The 19700-nt window shown below is 43.2% G+C and overlaps 1 protein-coding gene and 1 pseudogene across 17 annotated transcripts in view, besides 1 other annotated feature; one reads left to right on the forward strand and one right to left on the reverse strand.

Moving 5' to 3' along the window:
* Positions 1-19700, reverse strand: part of WNK3 (WNK lysine deficient protein kinase 3) — a 166078-nt gene that overhangs the window by 12623 nt on the left and 133755 nt on the right. The gene's annotated exons all lie outside the window — the stretch shown is intronic.
* Positions 10255-10906: an enhancer, noted in NCBI's record as "NANOG-H3K27ac hESC enhancer chrX:54242133-54242784 (GRCh37/hg19 assembly coordinates)". NCBI's record gives its function as "activates a minimal SCP1, AML or CMV promoter by ChIP-STARR-seq in primed H9 embryonic stem cells {active_cell/tissue: H9 hESC(primed)}" and the evidence as "EXISTENCE:reporter gene assay evidence [ECO:0000049][PMID:30033119]".
* On the forward strand, positions 17858-18624 carry RPL7AP71 (ribosomal protein L7a pseudogene 71; annotated as a pseudogene).

The following is a 19700-nucleotide window of genomic DNA, read 5'->3' on the forward strand; positions in this document are numbered from 1 at the left end:
CTAGTGGCACAATAGCCAACAAGTGGAGGAAAAAATAATTAACAAACTGAAGCAAGTATTTAAATGAAACAGGGACTAGGGCAACAACCACTGCACTCCAGCCTGGGCGACAAAGCAAGACCGTGTCTCTTAAGCAGGCAACAGAAAGAACAACTACACACACACATACACACACAAACACACACAAAGTTATGAAGAACAATGTGCCATATGAAAAGGAAAAAAATGCTATTTGAATGTTATTCAGTATCTATGCTTTACATAAAGCAGGATCATTTATTTACTGATTTCATTTAAAAGTTATTCATATCATAATATAAAAGACCACTTAATTCAAAGCTCACAAGCCAGAAAATACCCAATCAATGCACATTAAAATAAGTACTATGCAAACGTGGTTTATGATAGGTAGTAATAACATATTAACTTCAAATGTGCTCTTTAATATTCATTTCTTATTGATGAAATGAATAAAACCAGAGTTCAGTCCTTGATGTTCTTTTTTGTTCTTTCCTCCAAGGTGATGCCTATATTCAGACAGTTTCAGTGATCACTCCACTGCATTATTTCTATCTCTTATCCTATACCTTGATTTCTCTCTTCAATCACAATCTCACAACCAATTCCCAAATGTATTTTTCTACTTGGATGTTAATAAATTATTCAATTCAGGCCAGGCATGGTGACTCCCATCTGTAATCCTAGTACTTTAGGAGGCTGACACAGGAGGATTGCTTGAGGCCAGGAGTTCAAGACCAGCCTGGGCAACATAGGAGGATCTCGTCTCAAAAAAAATTTGCTGGGCATGGTGGCACACACCAGTAGTCCCAGCTACTTGGGAGGTTAAGGTGGGAGGCTTGATTGAGCCCAGGAGTGCAGGGTTATGGTGAACTATGATCACGCTACTGCATTCCTACCTGGGTGACAGTGAGACCCTGTCTCTAAAAAAATTAAATTAAAAAATAAATAATTCAAGTCAATATACCTGGGGTCAAACCTATCACAATCCTGGCATGACGATTTGCTTAAATGTCATACTTCTGTTTAAGATACTGCATTTTTTTCCAAACCACTCAAACTCAGATCCTTTGGATCTCCCCACCAATACACAAATCTCCAGTCCATCACTACGTCATGAAATTCCTCCTATACAATGTCTCTTGTCCACTTTCATTTCTACCATTCTATAAGCTCTTAATTATCTCATGCATAGACTACTATGATTGCAGTGATCTAAATGGACTCACTCCTTGGCTCTAGCCAATATATTCTTCAAACTACCACCAGATTAATATGAGTGAAGGCTGGGCACGGTGGCTCATGCCTGTAATCCCAGCACTTTGGGAGGCCGAGGTGGCTGGATCACATGAGGTCAGAAGTTCGACACCAGCCTGACCAACATGGTTAAACCCTGTCTCTACTAAAAATACAAAAATTAGCTGGGGATGGTGGTGCACACCTGTAATCCCAGCTAATTGGAGGCTGAGGCAGGAGAATTGCTTGAACCTGGGAGGCGGAGATTGCAGTGAGCCAAGATCCTGCCACTGCACTCCAGCCTGGGCAACAGAGCAAGACCGTGTCTCAGAAAGAATAAATAAGTAAAAAATAATATGAGTGAAATGCTGTTTTCAGATAAAATGCTGCTTAAAAAAAAAAAAAGCTTCAACAGTTCTTTACTGCTAACAGCATGAGGGTTCCCACTTGTTTAGGTGGCAAAGACCTGGGAAATCATGGTTGTCCTTGCAGAACAAGTACATTATTTTATTTATTATCCTTAAACTAACATGTATCACTTATTAAGCTTAAATATATAATTGTTTTAGATCAGATTCATTATCTTACACTAAACACTAACAGAAACATGCTGTGGCAGCTGCCAAATTTTTTTAAGTACAGAAGGAAAACTTTCTACTGTAAATCCTCCATTTCACCCAACTATTTGAAAGTTACATGTCTTTCTTGCAAATCTTGCATTTTTACCGTTTGCATGCCTTAATATCATGAAATTCTATCTATTGACAATACTCTTTCCACTTCCCTTAATTTCAATTCTGCCCATTTATCTTTTTTTTTTTTTTTTTTTTTGAGATGGAGTTTTGCTCTTGTTGCCCAGCCTGGAGTGTAATGGCATGATCTCGGCTCACTGCAACCTCCGCTTCCCAGATTCAGGCAATTCTCCTGCCTCAGCCTCCCGAGTAGCTGGGATTACAGGTGTGCACCACCACACCCGGCTATCCTTTGCATTTTTAGTAGAGATGGGGTATCACCATGTTGGTCAGGCTGGTCTCAAACTCCTGACCTCAGGTGATCCACCCGCCCCAGCCTCCCAAAGTGCTGGGATTACAGGCGTGAGCCACTGCACACCTGGCCAGCCCATTTATCCTTTGAGACCAACTCAAATCCTATCTTCTGCGTGAAGCATTCTCAGACCACTATCATCATTCATTCCCCTCAACCCACTACAGGTAAAATTTATGGTTTTGGGAAGCAATGCAGTATAATAGTTAAAAGCCAAGGCTTTGAAGTCAGACAGATTTGGATTCTCTCACCTATTAACTGAGATCCAAAAGAAGTTACTTAACCTCACTAACCTCAGTCTCTTCACCTAAAAAAGACAAACATTAATATTTATCTACCTTACAGAGATGTTCTGAGGATTAAGATAATATATATAATATATACTATATATGTTTTTTTGAGATGGAATCTTGCTCTGTCGCCCAGGCTGCAGTGCAGTGGCGCGATCTCAGCTCACTGCAAGCTCCGCCTCCCGGGTTCATGCCATTCTCCTGCCTCAGCCTCCCAAGTAGCTGGGACTACAGGTGCCCGCCACCACGCCCAGCTAAGTTTTTGTATTTTTAGTAGAGACGGGGTTTCACTGTGTTAGCCAGGATGGTCTCAATCTCCTGACCTCGTGATCCACCCGCCTCGGCCTCCCAAAGTGCTAGGATTACAGGTGTGAGCCACCGCGCCCGGCCCAATATATACCTTTTTAGACAGGGTCTGGCTCTGTCACACTCCTGGACTCAAGCAATCCTCCCACCTCAGCCTTCTGAGTAGCTGTGATTACAGGCGTGTGCCACCATGCCCAACTAATTTTTGTATGTTTTGTAGAGATGGGGTTTCGACATATTGCCCAGGCTGGTCTCAAACTCCTGAGCTCAAGTGATCTGCCTGCCTTGGCCTCCCAAAGTGCTGGGAGTACAGGCATGAGCCACACGCCCAGCCTAACACATGCAATATTTTTATTATGTCTTGGGATCTCCCAGACCACCCACACATTCAGTGATTCACCAGGTCTCCAAGGACTCAAGATATAGTTGTATTCATAGCTAAGGTTTATTACAGTGAAAGATACACATTACGGTCAGCAAAGGGAAAAGACAGGAGTCTAGAGAAATTCATGCTCAGACTTCCATATGTTCTCTCCCTATCCTTTCTCCAGCAACAAAAAAATACAGCAACAGGTGTACACATTTCTACCCAGGAAAGCCCATTAGAGACTTAGTGACCATGGTTTTCACTGGGGGCTGGTCTCAGAGGCACGTACTAAAATTCCAGACTCTGAGGAGGAAAACATGTGTTCAGGATAAATCACATTATTTGTACCAACAAACCAGGCAAACTGAACTATTTACCGGTTAGGGAACAGAGGGAAACCAAGTTCCCACATACCAGCCAAGGGCCAATCTTGCCAGCAGGCCTGTCTAAAGATAGCAGTCTCATGTCTGTTAGGTTGGCTCTATTCTGTACAGTTTACTACAATGCTCATATTATAAGTTAACTACACACATACATTGTGGATACCATTACATTGCAATACCATAATTAGCCAGGCGTGTTGGTGCGCACCTGTAATCCCAGCTACTCGGGAGGCTGAGGCAGGAGAATCACTTGAACCTGGGAGGCAGAAGTTGCAGTGGGCCGAGACCACACCACTGCACCCCAGCCTGGGTGACAGAGTGAGACTCTGTCTAAAAAATAAATAAATAAATAAATAAATAAATAAATAAACATAGCAATACCATGTATCAACTCATGTTTCCAACAAAACATGTATAATTGTGGGCAGGGAAGGATATATACGTGTTAAGCAGTGCTTTTTTTTTTTTTTTTTTTTTTTGAGATGGAGTCTTGCTCTGTCACCCAGGCTGGAGTGCAGTGGCGTGATCTCAGCTCACTGCAACCTCCGCCTCCTGGATTTAAGCTATTCTCCTGCCTGAGCCTCCCAAGTAGGTGGGATTACAGGTGTCTGCCACCACGTCTGGCTAGTTTTTGTATTTTTAGTAGAGACAGGGTTTTGCCATGATGGCCAAGCTGGTCTCGAACTCCTAACCTCAGGTGATCTGCTCACCTCAGCCTCCCCAAGTGTTGGGATTACAAGCATGAGCCACCGCACCTGGCCAAGCACTGCTTCCTAAAATGGGTTCCCTGGTAAAATTGTTTTGGGAGATTTTGTATATTATTTCCTTTCTTGGACATTCTCAATTCATATTAGCACATTAAAGGACCTAAGAAATTCTACAGTGGAGAGACTGGTATTTATATTATTTAATACCACATTTCGCATTTGACCATGTAACACCTATTAACTCCCTGCTGACAACTTATGAAATGCTGTGCTAAGGCCAACAAATGTGTCCACCAATCTTGGCCAAATGGGAAAAAGATGAAATGTCAGCAAGTTTTGAAAGAGCACTATTGGAGCTAGAAATATGAAATCACCTGTTCCTGTGAGAGGCAATAAGGTAACAAAACTACTGGAAGGTACATGTGGAGCATCCTGTCTTTGTGAACTTGGCCTCCATGAGTTATAAAAAGAAAAAGAAAATGAAGATAATTTAGTTCCTACTTAAGAAGACATGACCATTTTTATATTAAATCTGGTTCGAGGGCCTGACATAGTGGCTCACGCCTGTAATCCCAATGACTCTGGAGGCAGAGGTGGGAGGATTGCTTGAGGTCAGGAGTTTGAAATCAGCCTGGGCAACATAGCAAGACCCCATCTCTACAAAAAAAATTTTAAAAAAGATTTGCCAGGCACAGTGGCACACGCCTATAGTCCTGGCTACTTGGGAGGCTGAGGCAGGAGGATTGCTTGAGCCCAAGAGTTTGAGGTTACAGTGAGCTATGACTGAGCCACTGTACTCTAGCCTGGGTGACAAAGCAAGACCCTGTCTCTAAAAAATAAATAGATAAATAACAAAGTCTGGTTTGGAACCCATCTAAATATTTTAATAAATAAGTTAATTTAACAGAAGTACAATAATCAGATACTCTCCTTCCTGCCTACTGAAAAAAAATAATTTCTGGCTTCCAGTATGACAGAGTGAGGACGTTAAGAAACCTCCCTCAAAAGGAATCCTAAAATTGGACAAAATTCAAAAACAATCACTTTAGTACTCCAGAATTTGTCCTAAGGAATACAACAAAATCAGAAGCATTTATTCGTGAAAACTACTGAACTTTTCAGGTAAGAACTGTGCAATCTGTGGTGTTTTTGCACAAGGCTGTTCCCATCACCCCCACCCAGCTCTGTTGCCCAGCAAAGTGGGGCATTCTGAGAAAACAGTAAGTTTGGCTGCTGTTGCTGCTACCATAGGGGATTCACTTGATTTAGAACTTTAGAAGCAGGTACTCCATTAGCCTGAGGTTAACAGGGAGATCTGAGAAGTGAGATAGCCATAGGGACTTGATAAATTCTCCACATGTCAGGCTGAGCGTGGTGGCTCACACCTGTAATCCCAGCACTTTGGGAGGCCAAGGCAGGTGGATCACCTGAGGTCAGGAATTCGAGACCATCCTGGCCAACATGGTGAAATCCTGTCTCTACTAAAAATAGAAAAATTAGCCAGGTGTGGTGATGCGTGCCTGTAATCCAAGCTACTCGGGAGACTGAGGTGGGAGGATCGCTTGAACCTGGGAGGCAGAGGTTGCAGTGAGTCAAGATCATGCCACTGCGCTCCAGCCTTGGGAACAGAGCTAGACTCTGTCTCAAAAAAAAAAAAAAAAACTCCACATATCTCAGACTGACTGGATGTTCTCTAACCATAATGATTTTAAAGTACAAAAATAAGAGATAATGAGTGGTGGCACACACCTGTAATCCCAGCACTTTGGGAGGCTGAGGCGGGAGGATCACAAGGTCAGGAAATCAAGACAAGCCTGGCCAATATGGTGAAACATCGTCTCTACTAAAAATACAAAAATTAGCCGGGCGTGGTGGCGGGCGCCTGTAGCCCCAGCTACTCGGAAGGCTGATGCAAGAGAATCAATCGCTTGAGCCCGGGAGGCGGAGGTAGCAGTGAGCCAAGATTGCGCCCCTGCACTCCAGCCTGGGTGACAGGACGAGACTCTGCCTCAAAAAAAAAGAGACAATGAGAAAAATCTCCAAACTCTTCAAAATTAAACAACACACTACCAATAATCCATGGATAAAAGAGGAAGTCTCAAGGGAAATTAGAAAACATTTAGAACTCAAAAAAAAAAGAAAATATAGGGCCGGGTGCTGTGGCTTACGCCTGTAATCCCAGCACTTTGGGAGGTTGAGGCGGGCGGATCATGAGGTCAGGAGATGGAGACCATCCTGGCTAACACAGTGAAATGCCGTCTCTACTAAAAATACAAAAAATTAGCCGAGCATGGTGGTGGGTGCCTGTAGTCCCAGCTACTCGGGAGGCTGAGGCAGGAGAATGTCGTGAAACCGGGAGGCAGAGCTTGCAGTGAATGGAGATCACGCTACTGCACTCCAGCCTGTGGGACAGAGCGAGACTCCGTCTCAAGAACAACAACAACAAAGAAAATATAATATATCAAAACCTAGGGAATACTGGAGTACAAAGAATAAACTTCAATGTATGCAAAGGTAAAAAAAAAAATCATTTAGGAGGTCATGAGATCCCAGGATAGAATGTATTTGTCAAAATGCACAGAAAAGGCACAAAGAATGAACCTTAATATATGCAAGTTTAAAAAGCAATTTAGGAGGTCAGGGAATCCCAGAAGGGAATGTAGAATTTGATGAAAGCATCTAATCATATTGAAAATGTATGAAGCAACCTCATATAAGCGGGTAAAAGAACAGATGCTGAACTATATATAACTTTGGAAATGAGTGGCACCTGTAATACTGAAGGCAAAAGAAACTGTACATAAGCATTGTATTTTACTTTATAAAAGTATTTCCCACTAGGGTTTGGGTTAAAATTCTGAAACTACGATACCTGTACACTGGAATTAAACAAGTAAATGGCTGGAGGATGGTGGGAGCCAGGTTTCTCACTTCTGGAGTGGGAGGTTACAGATAAGCAAATAGATAAGTCGATAAGGGCAGAATGATCCATGTGGTAATGGATTAGAGTTGGAGACATCAATATGAATGCAAATTTACCTTAATATAAATACAGATGATTACATATAGAAATATTCATAGGTAGGGATATGTGTGTGTATATATATGTTAGTATACACATGTATAGTTCCTTATCAGCTAAGAGGGCCTAGAAGCAATGATACCTCAAGCACTCAAATCTTGGTTTCTTTTTTGTGAAAAAGGGTCTCACTCCGTCACCCAGGATGGAGTGCAGTGGTGCAATAACAATAACTGTTCACTGAAGTCTCAACCTCCCAGGATCAAGCAATCCTCCTACCTCAGCCTCCTGCGTAGCTGGGACTACAGGTGTGCGCTACCATGACGGGCTAATTTTTTTTTTAAATTTTTTGTAGATATGGGGTGTCACTATGTTGCCAGGGGTGGTCTTGAAATCCTGGGCTCAAGTAATCCTGCTGCCTCGGCCTCCCAAATGATTTTAAAGGACAAAAATAAGAGATAATGAGCGGTGGCTCACACCTGTAATCCCAGCACTTTGGGAGGCTGAGGTGGGCGCATCACAAGGTCAGAAGATCAAGACCAGCCCGGTCAACATGGTGAAACCGAGTCTCTACTAAAAATACAAAAAATTAGCTGGGCGAAGTGGTGGGCGCCTGTAATCTCTGCTACTCGGGAGGCTGAGGCAGGAGAATCGCTTGAAACCGGGAAGTGGAGGTTGCAGTGAGCCGAGATCGCGCCACTGCACTCCAGCCAGGGCGACAGAGTGAGACTCCGTCTCAAAAAAAAAAACAAACAAAAAAAAAAAAACTAGGGGAAAAAAATGATCAAAATAACCACAAGGCATGTAGAAGGCAGAAAATAATAAAGAGCAGAAATCCATAAAATTTAAAATGGGAAAACAGTAGAGAAAAACATCAATAAAAGCAAATACTGGATCTTTGTAAAGATAAAATTGATAAGCTTCTATCAAGAATCACAAAGAAAAAAAGAGAAGACAAATTAAATATCAGGAATGAAAGGTGACGTCATTCCCCAGATATTAAATATAATGTTCATATTATCTGTAAACACAAAAATTCAACAGCATAGACAAAATGGAACAAGTCCCCCCCAAAACCACAAACTACCGAAACTCACCCAACATGAAATACGTAATCTAAATAATCCTGTAACTACTATTGAAGAGTTTGATTTATTTTTGAAAAAAAAATTTTTTTTTGAGATGGAGTCTCACTCTGTCACCCAGGCTGGAGGGCAGTGGCACAATCTCAGCTCACTGCAACCTCCACCTCCTGGGTTCAAGCACTTCTCCTGTCTCAGCCTCCCTGGTAGCTGGGATTACAGGCGCGTGCCACCGCTACCACACCTGGCTAATTTTTGTATTTTTAGTAGACACGGGGTTTTGCCATGTTGGCCAGGCTGGTCTCAAACTCCTGACCTCAGATGATCCTCCCGCCTTGGCCTCCCAAAGTGCTTGGATTACAGCCGTGAGCCACCAAGCCTGGCCAAAAGTTTGAAAAGTTAAAAACCTCCCAAAAAAGAAATCTCTGAGCCCAGATGGTTTCATTGGAAAAATTTCCCAGACATTTAAAGAAGAAATAATACTAACTCAAGACAAACTCTTCAGAAAATAGAAAAGGAAGGAGAAGATGGACTTCTAAAAATGCAGAATAAGGGCCTGGGTAAACTTTCTTGTATTCAAAAACAATAAAAATATAGGCAAAACAACTAGAACCAACCACCCCTGACAATTATCCAAAGCCATAGAATAAAACTAAAAACCTCTATGAAAGACAAACTATGGAAACTACTGGCATCTGTGACACTTTGACTTGGGGCAATTCTCATTCCCCCTTGTTCCCCAGCTCAGCGTTGTGGTAGCCAACAAACAGCAGCACTGCAGACAATGGAGCAATCATACCTCTTTTTGAGCTCCCTTAAAAACACCATCTCCAGGCTGGGCGCGGTGGCTCACGCCTGTAATCCCAGCACTTTGGGAGGCTGAGGTGGGCGGATCACGAGGTCAGGAGATCGAGACCATCCTGGTTAACACGGTGAGACCCCTGTCTCTACTAAAAATACAAAAAATTAGCCAGGCGTGGTGGCGGGCGCCTGTAGTCCCAGCTACTCAGGAGGCCGAGGCAGGAAAATGGCGTGAACCCAGGAGGCGGAGCTTGCAGTGAGCCAAGATCACGCCACTACGTGGTGGCGGGTGCCTATAGTCCCAGCTACCTGGGAGGCTGAGGCAGGAGAATGGTGTGAACCCGGGAGGCGGAGCTTGCAGTGAGCCGAGACTGTGCCAGTGCACTGCAGCCTGGGAGACAGAGCCAGACTCCATCTCAAAAAAAAAAAAAAAAAAAAAAACACCATCTCCAGTGCACAGTCAATATTTTGCAGCACCCTGGAGCTCTCCCTCTCTCTCCGTCTCCTCTCTCCCTCTTTGCACGGTCTCCCTCTGATGCCCAGCCCAGGCTGGACTGTACTGCCGCCATCTTGGCTCACGGCAACCTCCCTGCCTGATTCTCCTGCCTCAGCCTGCCGAGTGCCTGGGATTGCAGGCGCGCGCCGCCACGCCTGACTGGTTTTCGTATTTTTTGGTGGAGACGGGTTTCCCCGCGTTGGCCGGGCTGGTCTCCAGCTCCCGACCGCGAGTGATCTGCCAGCCTCGGCCTCCCGAGGTGCCGGGATTGCAGACGGAGTCTCGCTCACTCAGTGCTCAATGTTGCCCAGGCTGGAGTGCAGTGGCGTGATCTCCGCTCGCTACAACCTCCACCTCCCAGCCGCCTGCCTTGGCCTCCCAAAGTGCCGAGATTGCAGCCTCTGCCCGGCCGCCACCCCGTCTAGGAAGTGAGGAGCGCCTCTTCCCGGCCGTCATCCCGTCTAGGAAGTGAGGAGCGTCTCTGCCCGGCCGCCCATCGTCTGGGATGTGGGGAGCACCTCTGCCCCGCCGCCCTGTCTGGGAAGTGAGGAGCCCCTCTGCCCGGCCGCCACCCAGTCTGGGAAGTGTACTCAACAGCTCATTGAGAACGGGCCATGATGACGATGGCGGTTTTGTCGACTAGAAAAGGGGGAAATGTGGGGAAAAGAAAGAGATCAGATTGTTACTGTGTCTGTGTAGAAAGAAGTAGACATAGGAGACTCCATTTTGTTCTGTACTAAGAAAAATTCTTCTGCCTTGGGATGCTGTTAATCTATAATCTTACCCCCAACCCCGTGCTCTCTGAAACATGTGCTGTGTCCACTAAGGGTTAAATGGATTAAGGGCGGTGCAAGATGTGCTTTGTTAAACAGATGCTTGAAGGCAGCATGCTCGTTAAGAGTCATCACCACTCCCTAATCTCAAGTACCCAGGGACACAAACACTGCGGAAGGTGGAAGGCGGCAGGGCCCTCTGCCTAGGAAAACCAGAGACCTTTGTTCACATGTTTATCTGCTGACCTTCCCTCCACTATTGTCCTATGACCCTGCCAAATCCCCCTCTCCGAGAAACACCCAAGAATGATCAATAAATACTAAAATATATATATATATATATATATTTTGCAGCACCCTGGAAAGATTTCTATTTCCCAAGTGTGGTGGAGATTTGATTTCACTCAAAGCTCTGCTCACCTGGCAGTGGAAGAGCATAGTGGGATGGAGAGTAGGGGGCTACCTGCAAGGCATTACTGAAACTATGGGAAAGTGCAGGCAACAACTCAGCTGCCTAAGGCTGAGATTTCAGTTGGGGCAAATAAGAACCTAGACTAGAATTAAAAGGGAATTCTGGGAGAACTAGATGACCATAAGAAACTTTGAAAACCTCTAACATATTCTTGGCAATATAAAAGTCTGGCATGCCCACGAAAGACCTAAGAAAGGAGAAGGTGCCAATCACTCACTTCTGGTTGACCTTGAGTTCCTAGGCAAGCAGGAAGTAAATCAAAGGTTGTCTTACAAACTGTCTGAAGTTTGATCTCTAACAGAGATCCCTTTGGAAAAGATATCCAGGCAAGGCACTTAGTGAACTCTTCTGACCAATCATGGCTCATCACTAAACGGCACTAGCCCAGGTGTGAACCTTGGGAAACCAGGCTTAAAAATTAAAAATAAATAAATAAAAACAAATCCAACAGGGAGGCCAGGTGTATTGGCTCATGCCTGTAATCCCAGAACTTTGGGAGGCTGAGGCAAGAGGATCTCTTGAGGCCAGGAGTTTGAGACCAGCCTGGACAACATAGCAAGACCCCATCTTTACACAAATTTTAAAAATTAGCCATGTGGGCCGGGCACGGTGGCTCACGCCTGTAATCCCAACACTTTGGGAGGCCAAGGCAGGCAGATCACGAGGTCGGAGATCGAGACCATCCTGGCTAACACGCTGAAACCCCATCTCTACTAAAAATACAAAAAATTAGCTGGGTGTGGTCGTGGGCGCCTGTAGTCCCAGCTACTTGGGAGGCTGAGGCAGGAGAATGGCATGAACCCAGGAGGCGGAGCTTGCATTGAGCTGAGATTGCACCACTGCACTCCAGCCTGGGCGACAGAGCAAGACTCCATCAAAAAAAAAAAAAAAAAAAATTAGCCATGTGGGCCAGGCGCGGTGGCTCACACCTGTAATCCCAGCACTTTGGGGCGGGTGGATCATGAGGTCCAGGAGATCAAGACTATCCTGGCCAACATGGTAAAACCCCATCTCTACTAATACACACAAAAAATTAGCTGGGTGTGGTGGCGTGTGCCTGTGGTCCCAGCTACTCATAAGGCTGAGGCAGGGGAATTGCTTCAACCCAGGAGGCGGAGGTTGCAGTGAGCCGAGATCACACCACTGCACTCCAGTCTGGTGACAGAGCAAGGCTTGGTCTCTTAAAAAAAAAAAAATTGCCATGTGTTGTGGCATGCACCTATTAGTCCCAGGTACTAAGGAAGCTGAGGTAGGAGGATTGCTTGAGCCCAGGAGTTTGAAGCTGCAGTGAACTAGATCATGCCACTACACTCCAGCCATGGCTCTTTGAAAAAGAAAATCCAGCAGGGAATTCAATGGCCATACACTGCAGGGAATGTAAAATTTGTCCAGGAAAATCACTAAATAATTAGCAACAAGAAAAACAACAACAACCCTTGAGGGGTAGAAGAATCCGATACTAGAAGTTCTTTAATATATTATTTAAAATGTCCAGTTTGCACCACAAAATTAAGAGACACGCAAAGAAACAGGAAAGCATGACATATGCAGGAAAAAAGGGGACCCAACAAAAACATCCTGGAGGGGGCCTATATTTTGGACTTAGTAGACAAAGCTTTTATATCAGCTATTATAAATACAGTTGACCCTTGAACAAAACAGGTTTGAACTGTGCAGGTCCACTTATATGTGGATTGTTTTCAACCAAATATGGATCGAAAATACAGTATTCTGGGATGTGAAACCTGCATATATGGAGGGCTGACATTTTGTATATATGTGCATTCCTCAGGGCCACCTGTGGAACTTGACTGTGTGGATTTTGGCATACGCAGGAGTCCTGGAACTGATCTCCGCATATACCAAGGGACAAACTGTATATCCAAACTTAGGGAAACTATGCCTAAAAAAATTAAAGGAAAGTGTGACAACAATATCTCACCAAATAGAGACTAGAGATGGAAGTTGTTTTTAAAAAGCAAATTCTAGAGCTTAAAAATACAGTATCTGAAGTGAAAAATTATATAGAGGGGCCCATTAAGAGATTTTAGTGGGAAAAAGAAATAATCAACCAACAAGAAAACAGGTTGATGAAGAAATCCACTTTGAAGAACAGAAAGAAAAAAGAATTAAAAAAAAAAAAAAAAGAAAAGAAAAGAAAGAGGCCGGGTGTGGTGGCTACGCCTGTAATCCCAGCACTATGGGAGGCCAAGGCAGGCAGATCACTTGAGGTCAGGAGTTCGAGATCAGCCTGGCCAACATGGTGAAACCCTGCCTCTACTAAAAATACAAAAATTAGCCGGGTGTGGTGGTGCGCGTCTGTAATCCCAGCTACCTGGGGGGCTGAGGCACGAGAATTGCTTGAACCCGGGAAGCGGAGGTTGCAGTGAGCCAAGATCACACGACTTCACACCAGCCTGGGTAACAAAGTGAGACTCTGTCTCATAAATAAATTCACAAAATGAGACTCTGTCTCATAAATAAATTGATAGATAGATAAAATAAAAAATAAAAAAATTTAAAAAAGTGAAAGAGCCTCACAGACCTGTTGGACACCATCAAGCATGACAAATATGCATAATAGGAGTTCCAAAAATAGAAGAGAAAAGGGCAGAAAAAATATCAGAATAAATAATAACTCCAAATTTCCAAAACTGAATGACAAATATTAATTTACACATTCAAGAAGCTCAGTGAACTATAACTAAAGTAAATTTAATGAGATCCATACCTAGACACTCATAATCAAATTGATGAAAATCAAAGACAAAAAGAAAATCTTTAAAGAAGACAAAAAATAGACTTGTCATGTATAAGGGACTTCAATAAAATTAAGAGCTGACTTCTCATTGGAAACCATACAGGCCAAAAGACAATGGGATGACACTGTCAAAGTGTTGAAAGAGTAAGACTATCAAAGAAGAATTCACCTAAATCTTTCAAAAATGAAGGAGACCCGGCCAGGCACGGTGGCTCACACCTGTAATCCCAGTACTTTGGGAGGCTGAAGCAGGCAGATCACTTGAGGTCAGGAGTTCGAGACCAACCTGGCCAACATGGTGGTACCATTTCTACTAAAAATACAAAAATTAGCCAGGCCTAGTGGCGGGCACCTGTAATCCCAGCTACTCGGGAGGCTGAGGCAGGAGAATCACTTGAACCCGGGAGGCGGAGGTTGCAGTGAGCCGAGATCGCGCCAGCCTGGGCAACAAAACGAGACTCCATCTCCCAAAAAAAAAAAAAAAAAAAAAAAAAAAAAAAGGAAGGAGATCCACACATAACACTGTGCTATAAACTCCTTGAAGAGGGTGACCTTCTCATAGACATCATGCTCTGCATGTAGTTGGAGATTGTTATGTTTTAAGAAAATGAGTAACAGTTTTCTATAGGTGAATTTTAATCTATAGGAAAAGAAGTGTGTCTTGTGAAAAGTATGTAATAGAGTTAAGGGCACCAAACTGTGCACTGTCTTTTGGGAGCCAACTGTTCAGTTGTGAGAGTTCAAAGGTGGATAAAAGCTAGTCTATATACCAGGGGAGAAGTGGATAAGGTATATACAACTGAGATTTGGAAATAACCAGTTATAACAGTAAAGTAGCCATGCCTCTAGATTTACTCTTTTGTTTACCTATTCTTTATTTCAGAGACCTAATGTTAAGTATCAAAAGCAAAATATTTGTTGTAAAAAAGATTTGAAAAATGGAAGATGACTAACTCTTGGGAACATGCAAAAGGAACTTTATACTTTCAATGCTCATTCTAATAACTAGTTCTTCTTGATGACTGGAATACAAAGAATACTAAAAAATCTGAATTTCCATTGAACCAAGCATTTTTAGAATAAGACCTTTCCTAAATAATCCCAGCACTTTGGGAGGCTGATGTGGGCAGATCACTTGAGCTCAGAAGCTGTAGACCAGCCTGGGCAACATAAGGAGACCCCATCTCTATTAAAAAAAAAATTAGCTGGGCATGGTAGTGTGTACCTGTAGTCCCAGCTACTTGGGAGGCTGAGGTGGGAGGATCACTTGAGCCCAGGAGGTCGAGGCTGCAGTGAGCTGTGATGGCACCACTACACTTCAGCCTGAGGGACAGGGTCAGACCCTGTCTCAAAAACAAAACAAATGGAATCTTTATTTTTTTACATTATTTCCCAAAACCCTAGAAAGTCTAAATCCAAATGGCTTTATTTTACAAGAATGATTTTGCCTTTCAAATTTTTAGGTGTCTTATTGCATAAAATAAAACTTTATTAATAGACTTATTAAGCAAAATAATTTTTTTTCAATTTTGTACTTTTCAGTATTTTTTCTATCAACTTTATGGCTGAAAAGGAAGCATCAATAAAGAGAAGAGTTTTAAATAGCTAGCTATTTTAGAGTTCCTATTAAAATAGGATTCTACTTGTTGTATATAATTAAAGAAATTTAACCTGGGCCAGAATAGAAGGTATTAAGAATACCAGATGTTTCTGTGAGCTGGAAGCTGTCACAGCAGTGACACACTTGAATTGGAAATCACCAAAATTTCCTTCTTATTTTCTACTCACCAAACAAAACACAGGCATACTTTCTCATACCTTATGTTTTATAAGGTGAATTGTACCAGGACCTTTAACAGCCTTTGATCCAATTTAAGCTAGTCCTTTATGTCCTTGTTTTTTAAAAACAAATTCCATAAATGGAAAAAAAATAAAAATAGAAACACTTCTAATAAAAAACTGGAAATTCATTGCTAGCTGACCTAACTTACAAGAAATATTAAAGTGAGTCCTTTAGGATGAAATAAAAGAATGCTAGATAGTTACTCAAATCCACATGAAAAAATAAAGCACACTGCTGAAGAGAACTACATAGGTAAATATAATATTCAGTATAAATGTACTTTGTATTTATAACTCTACTTTTCCTACCTGATTTCAAAGTCAACTGCATAAAGCAATAACTATAAAATTGTGTCAATGAGCTTATAACATGTAAAGATGTAATGTGTATAACAATAATAGTACAAAGAAGTTGTGAGGGAATACGTGTGTGTATGTATTACACACACATATATTAGAGAAATGTTTTGTGTACCATTGAAGTTAATTTAGTATTAAACTGAACTAGAGGCCAGGCGAGGTGGCTCACACCTGTAATCCAGCATTTTGGGAGGCCGAGGCGGGCGGATCACCTGAGGTTAGGAGTTTGAGACCAGTCTGGCCAACATGGTGAAACCCCATCTCTACTAAAAATACAAAAAAATTAGCCAGGCATGGTGACGCACGCCTGTAATCCCAGCTACTCAGGTAGCTGAGGCAGGAGAATCGCTTGAACCCAGAGGCAGAAGTTGCAGTGAGCTGAGATCACGCCACTCAACTCCAGCCTGGGCAACAGAGCAAGACCCCATCTTAAAAAAAAACCAACCAACCAAACAAACAAACAAAAAAACATGACTGGGTGTGGTGGCTCACGCCTGTAATCCCAACACTTTGGGAGGCTGAGGCGGGTGGATCACCTGAGGTCAGGAGTTCGAGACCAGCCTGGCTAATATGGTGAAACCCTGTCTCTATTAAAAATACAAAAATTAGCTGCACGTGATGGCAGGTACATGTAATCCCAGCCACTCAGGAGGCTGAGGAAGGAGAATCGCTTGAACCTGGGAGGCGGAGGTTGCAGTGAGCCAAGGTCGCACCATTGCACTCCAGCCTGGGCGACAAGAGCAAAACTTCGTCTCAAAACAAACAAAAAACACACAAAAAAACTGAACTAGATTGCTTTTAAATTAAGAAGCTCATTGTGGCTACCACAAGAAAATAACTGAAAAATATAAGAAAAGAATAATATAGGGCCAGGTACTTTGGCTCACACCTGTAATACCAGCAATTTGGGAGGCTGGGTAGGAGGATTGCTTAAGCCCAGGAGCTCGAGGCCAGCCTGGACAATACAGTGAGAGCCTGTATTTAAAAAAAAATTTTTTTTTTTTTAATTAGCTGAGCATGGTAGCATGCGCCTATGGTCCCGGCTACTCAGGAGGCTGATGTGGGAGGATAACTTGAGCCCGGGAGGTTGAGGTTATAGTGAGCTATGATCACACCACTGCACTCCAGCCTGGGTGACAGGGTGAGACCCTGTCTCAAAAAAAAGAAGAAAAATGAAAAGTATAGTATAATAGGCCGGGCATGGTGGCTCACGCCTGTAATTCCAGCACTCTGGGAGGCTGAGGTGGGCAGATCACCTGAAGTCAGGAGTTTGAGGCCAACCTGGCCGATGTGGCAAAACCTCGTCTCTACTAAAAATACAAAAATTAGCCAGGTATGGTGGTATGCACCTGTAGTCCCAACTACTTGGGAGGCTGAGCAGAAGAATCACTTGAACCCGGGAGGTGGAGGTTGCAGTCAGCAGAGATTGCACCACTGCACTCTAGCCTGGGTGACAGAGTGAGACTCTGTCTCAAAAAAAAAAAAGTATAGTATAATAATAATAATAATAATAATATATATATATATATATATATATAAAAAAAGACACAATAGAATTTAAATGCTACATTGGAAAATATCTATTTAACATAAAAGAAGGCAGGAATACGGAGAGTCAGAGGATGAGGAAAAAAAGAAAAAAATCGAAGATATATAGAAAACAAAGATAACAAAATGACAGGCATAAATCCTACCTTACATTAAATGGAAATGATTTAAATGCCCCAATCAAAAGACAGATTGACAGAATAAAAAACATGATTTAACTATATATGATAACAATAAACACAATTCTGATTTAAAGACAGAAATACATTCAAAGTAAAAGAACAGAAAAAGATATGGCATGCAAGCAGTAACCAAAAGAAAGCTGGATTGGTTGTACTAATATCAGAAATAATCTCTCCTCTAGCCATTCAAAATGCCAAAAGGAATGAAGGCTAAGTGGAAGAAGATGGCCCCCTCTCCTGCTATTGTGAGGAAGCAGGAGGCGAAGAAGGTGATGAATCCCGTTTGAGAAAAGGCCTAAGAATTTTGGCACTGAACAGGACATCCAGCCCTAAAGGGACCTCACCCACTTTGTCAGATGGCCCTGCTATATCAGGTTGCAGCAGCAAGGATCTATATATCTTCTAAAAGCAGCTGAAAGTGCCTCCTGCAAATAACCAGTTTACCTAGGCCTTGGACTGCCAAATAGCTACACAACTGCTTAAGCTGGCCTATAAGGACAGACCAGAGACAAAGCAAGAAGATCATTGGTCCAGACTGAGAAGAAAGTTGCCAGAGGGATGTCTCCACTAAGGCCTTTGAGCAGGGATTAATGCTGTCACCACCTTGGTGGAGAACAAGAAAGCTCAGCTGGTGGTGACTGCACGTGACAATGGATCTCATAGAGCTAGCTGTCTTCCTGCCTGCCCTGCATCATAAAATACAAAGGGAAGAGAAGACTGGGATGTCTAGTCCACAGGAAGACTTGCACCACTGTCGCCTTCACACAGATTAACTTGGCAGACAAAGGAGCTTTGGCTAAGCTGGTGGAAGCCATCAGAACCAATGACAATGACAGACAGGATGAGATCCACTGTCACTAGGGAGGCAATATCCTGGGTCCAAAATCTCTGGCTCTCATTGCCAAGCTGGAAAAGGCAAAGGCTTAAGAACTTCCCATTGGCCAGGCGCAGTGGCTCACGCCTGTAATCCCAGCACTTTGGGAGGCTGAGGCAGGCGGATCACCTGAGGTCAGGAGTTTGAGACCAGCCTGACCAACATAGAGAACCCCATCTCTACTAGAAATACAAAATTAGCTGGGTGTGGTGGCACATGCCTGTAATCCCAGGTACTAGGGAGGCTGAGGCAGGAGAATCGCTTGAACCTGGGAGGCAGAGGTTGCAGTGAGCTGATATCACGTCATTGCACTCCAGCCTGGGCAACAAGAGCGAAACTCCATCTAAAAAAAAAAAAAAAACACCTTCCCATTAAGCTGGGTTAAATGTAGACTGTTGAGTTTTCTGGACAAATAATAATAATAATTCTCCTTCAGCCAAATAAAATGAAATATAAATTAAGAAGACATAACAATTATTACATATGTGTGCAAGTGTGTTCCAAAATACACAACGCAAAATTGACAGAATTGAGGGGAGAAATTCAACAATGGTTGGAGACTTCTTTTTTTTTTTCTTTTTGAGATGGAGTCTCGCTCTGTCGCCCAGGCTGGAGTGCAGTGGCAAGATCTCGGCTCACTGCAAGCTCCGCCTCCCGGGTTCACGCCATTCTCCTGCCTCAGCCTCCCGAGTAGCTGGGACTACAGGCGCCCGCCACCACACTGGGCTAATTTTTTGTATTTTTAGTATAGATGGGGTTTCACCATGTTAGCCAGGAGGGTCTTGATCTCCTGACCTTGTGATCCGCCCACCTCGGCCTCCCAAAGTGCTGGGATTACAGGCGTGAGCCACCGTGCCCTGCCAGTTGGAGACTTCTATAACCCACTTTTAATAACTGATAGAACTAGGCAGATGATCAACAGAGAAATAGAAGACTTGAACAGCCCTCTAAACCAAAGAGGCCTAACAGACATATATGGAACGCTCCACCCAACAACACCAGAATACATACTTTTCTTTAGCATACATGAGTTCAAGACCAGCCTGGGCAACATAAGGAGACCTTGTCTCTAAAACAAATAAAAAAAAAAAATAGCAGGACATGGTGGCATGTGCCTGTAGTCCCAGCTACTTGGGAGT

The sequence above is a fragment of the Homo sapiens genome, chromosome X (genome assembly GCF_000001405.40).
Source record: "Homo sapiens chromosome X, GRCh38.p14 Primary Assembly".
In the NCBI taxonomy this organism is placed as follows: domain Eukaryota; kingdom Metazoa; phylum Chordata; class Mammalia; order Primates; family Hominidae; genus Homo; species Homo sapiens.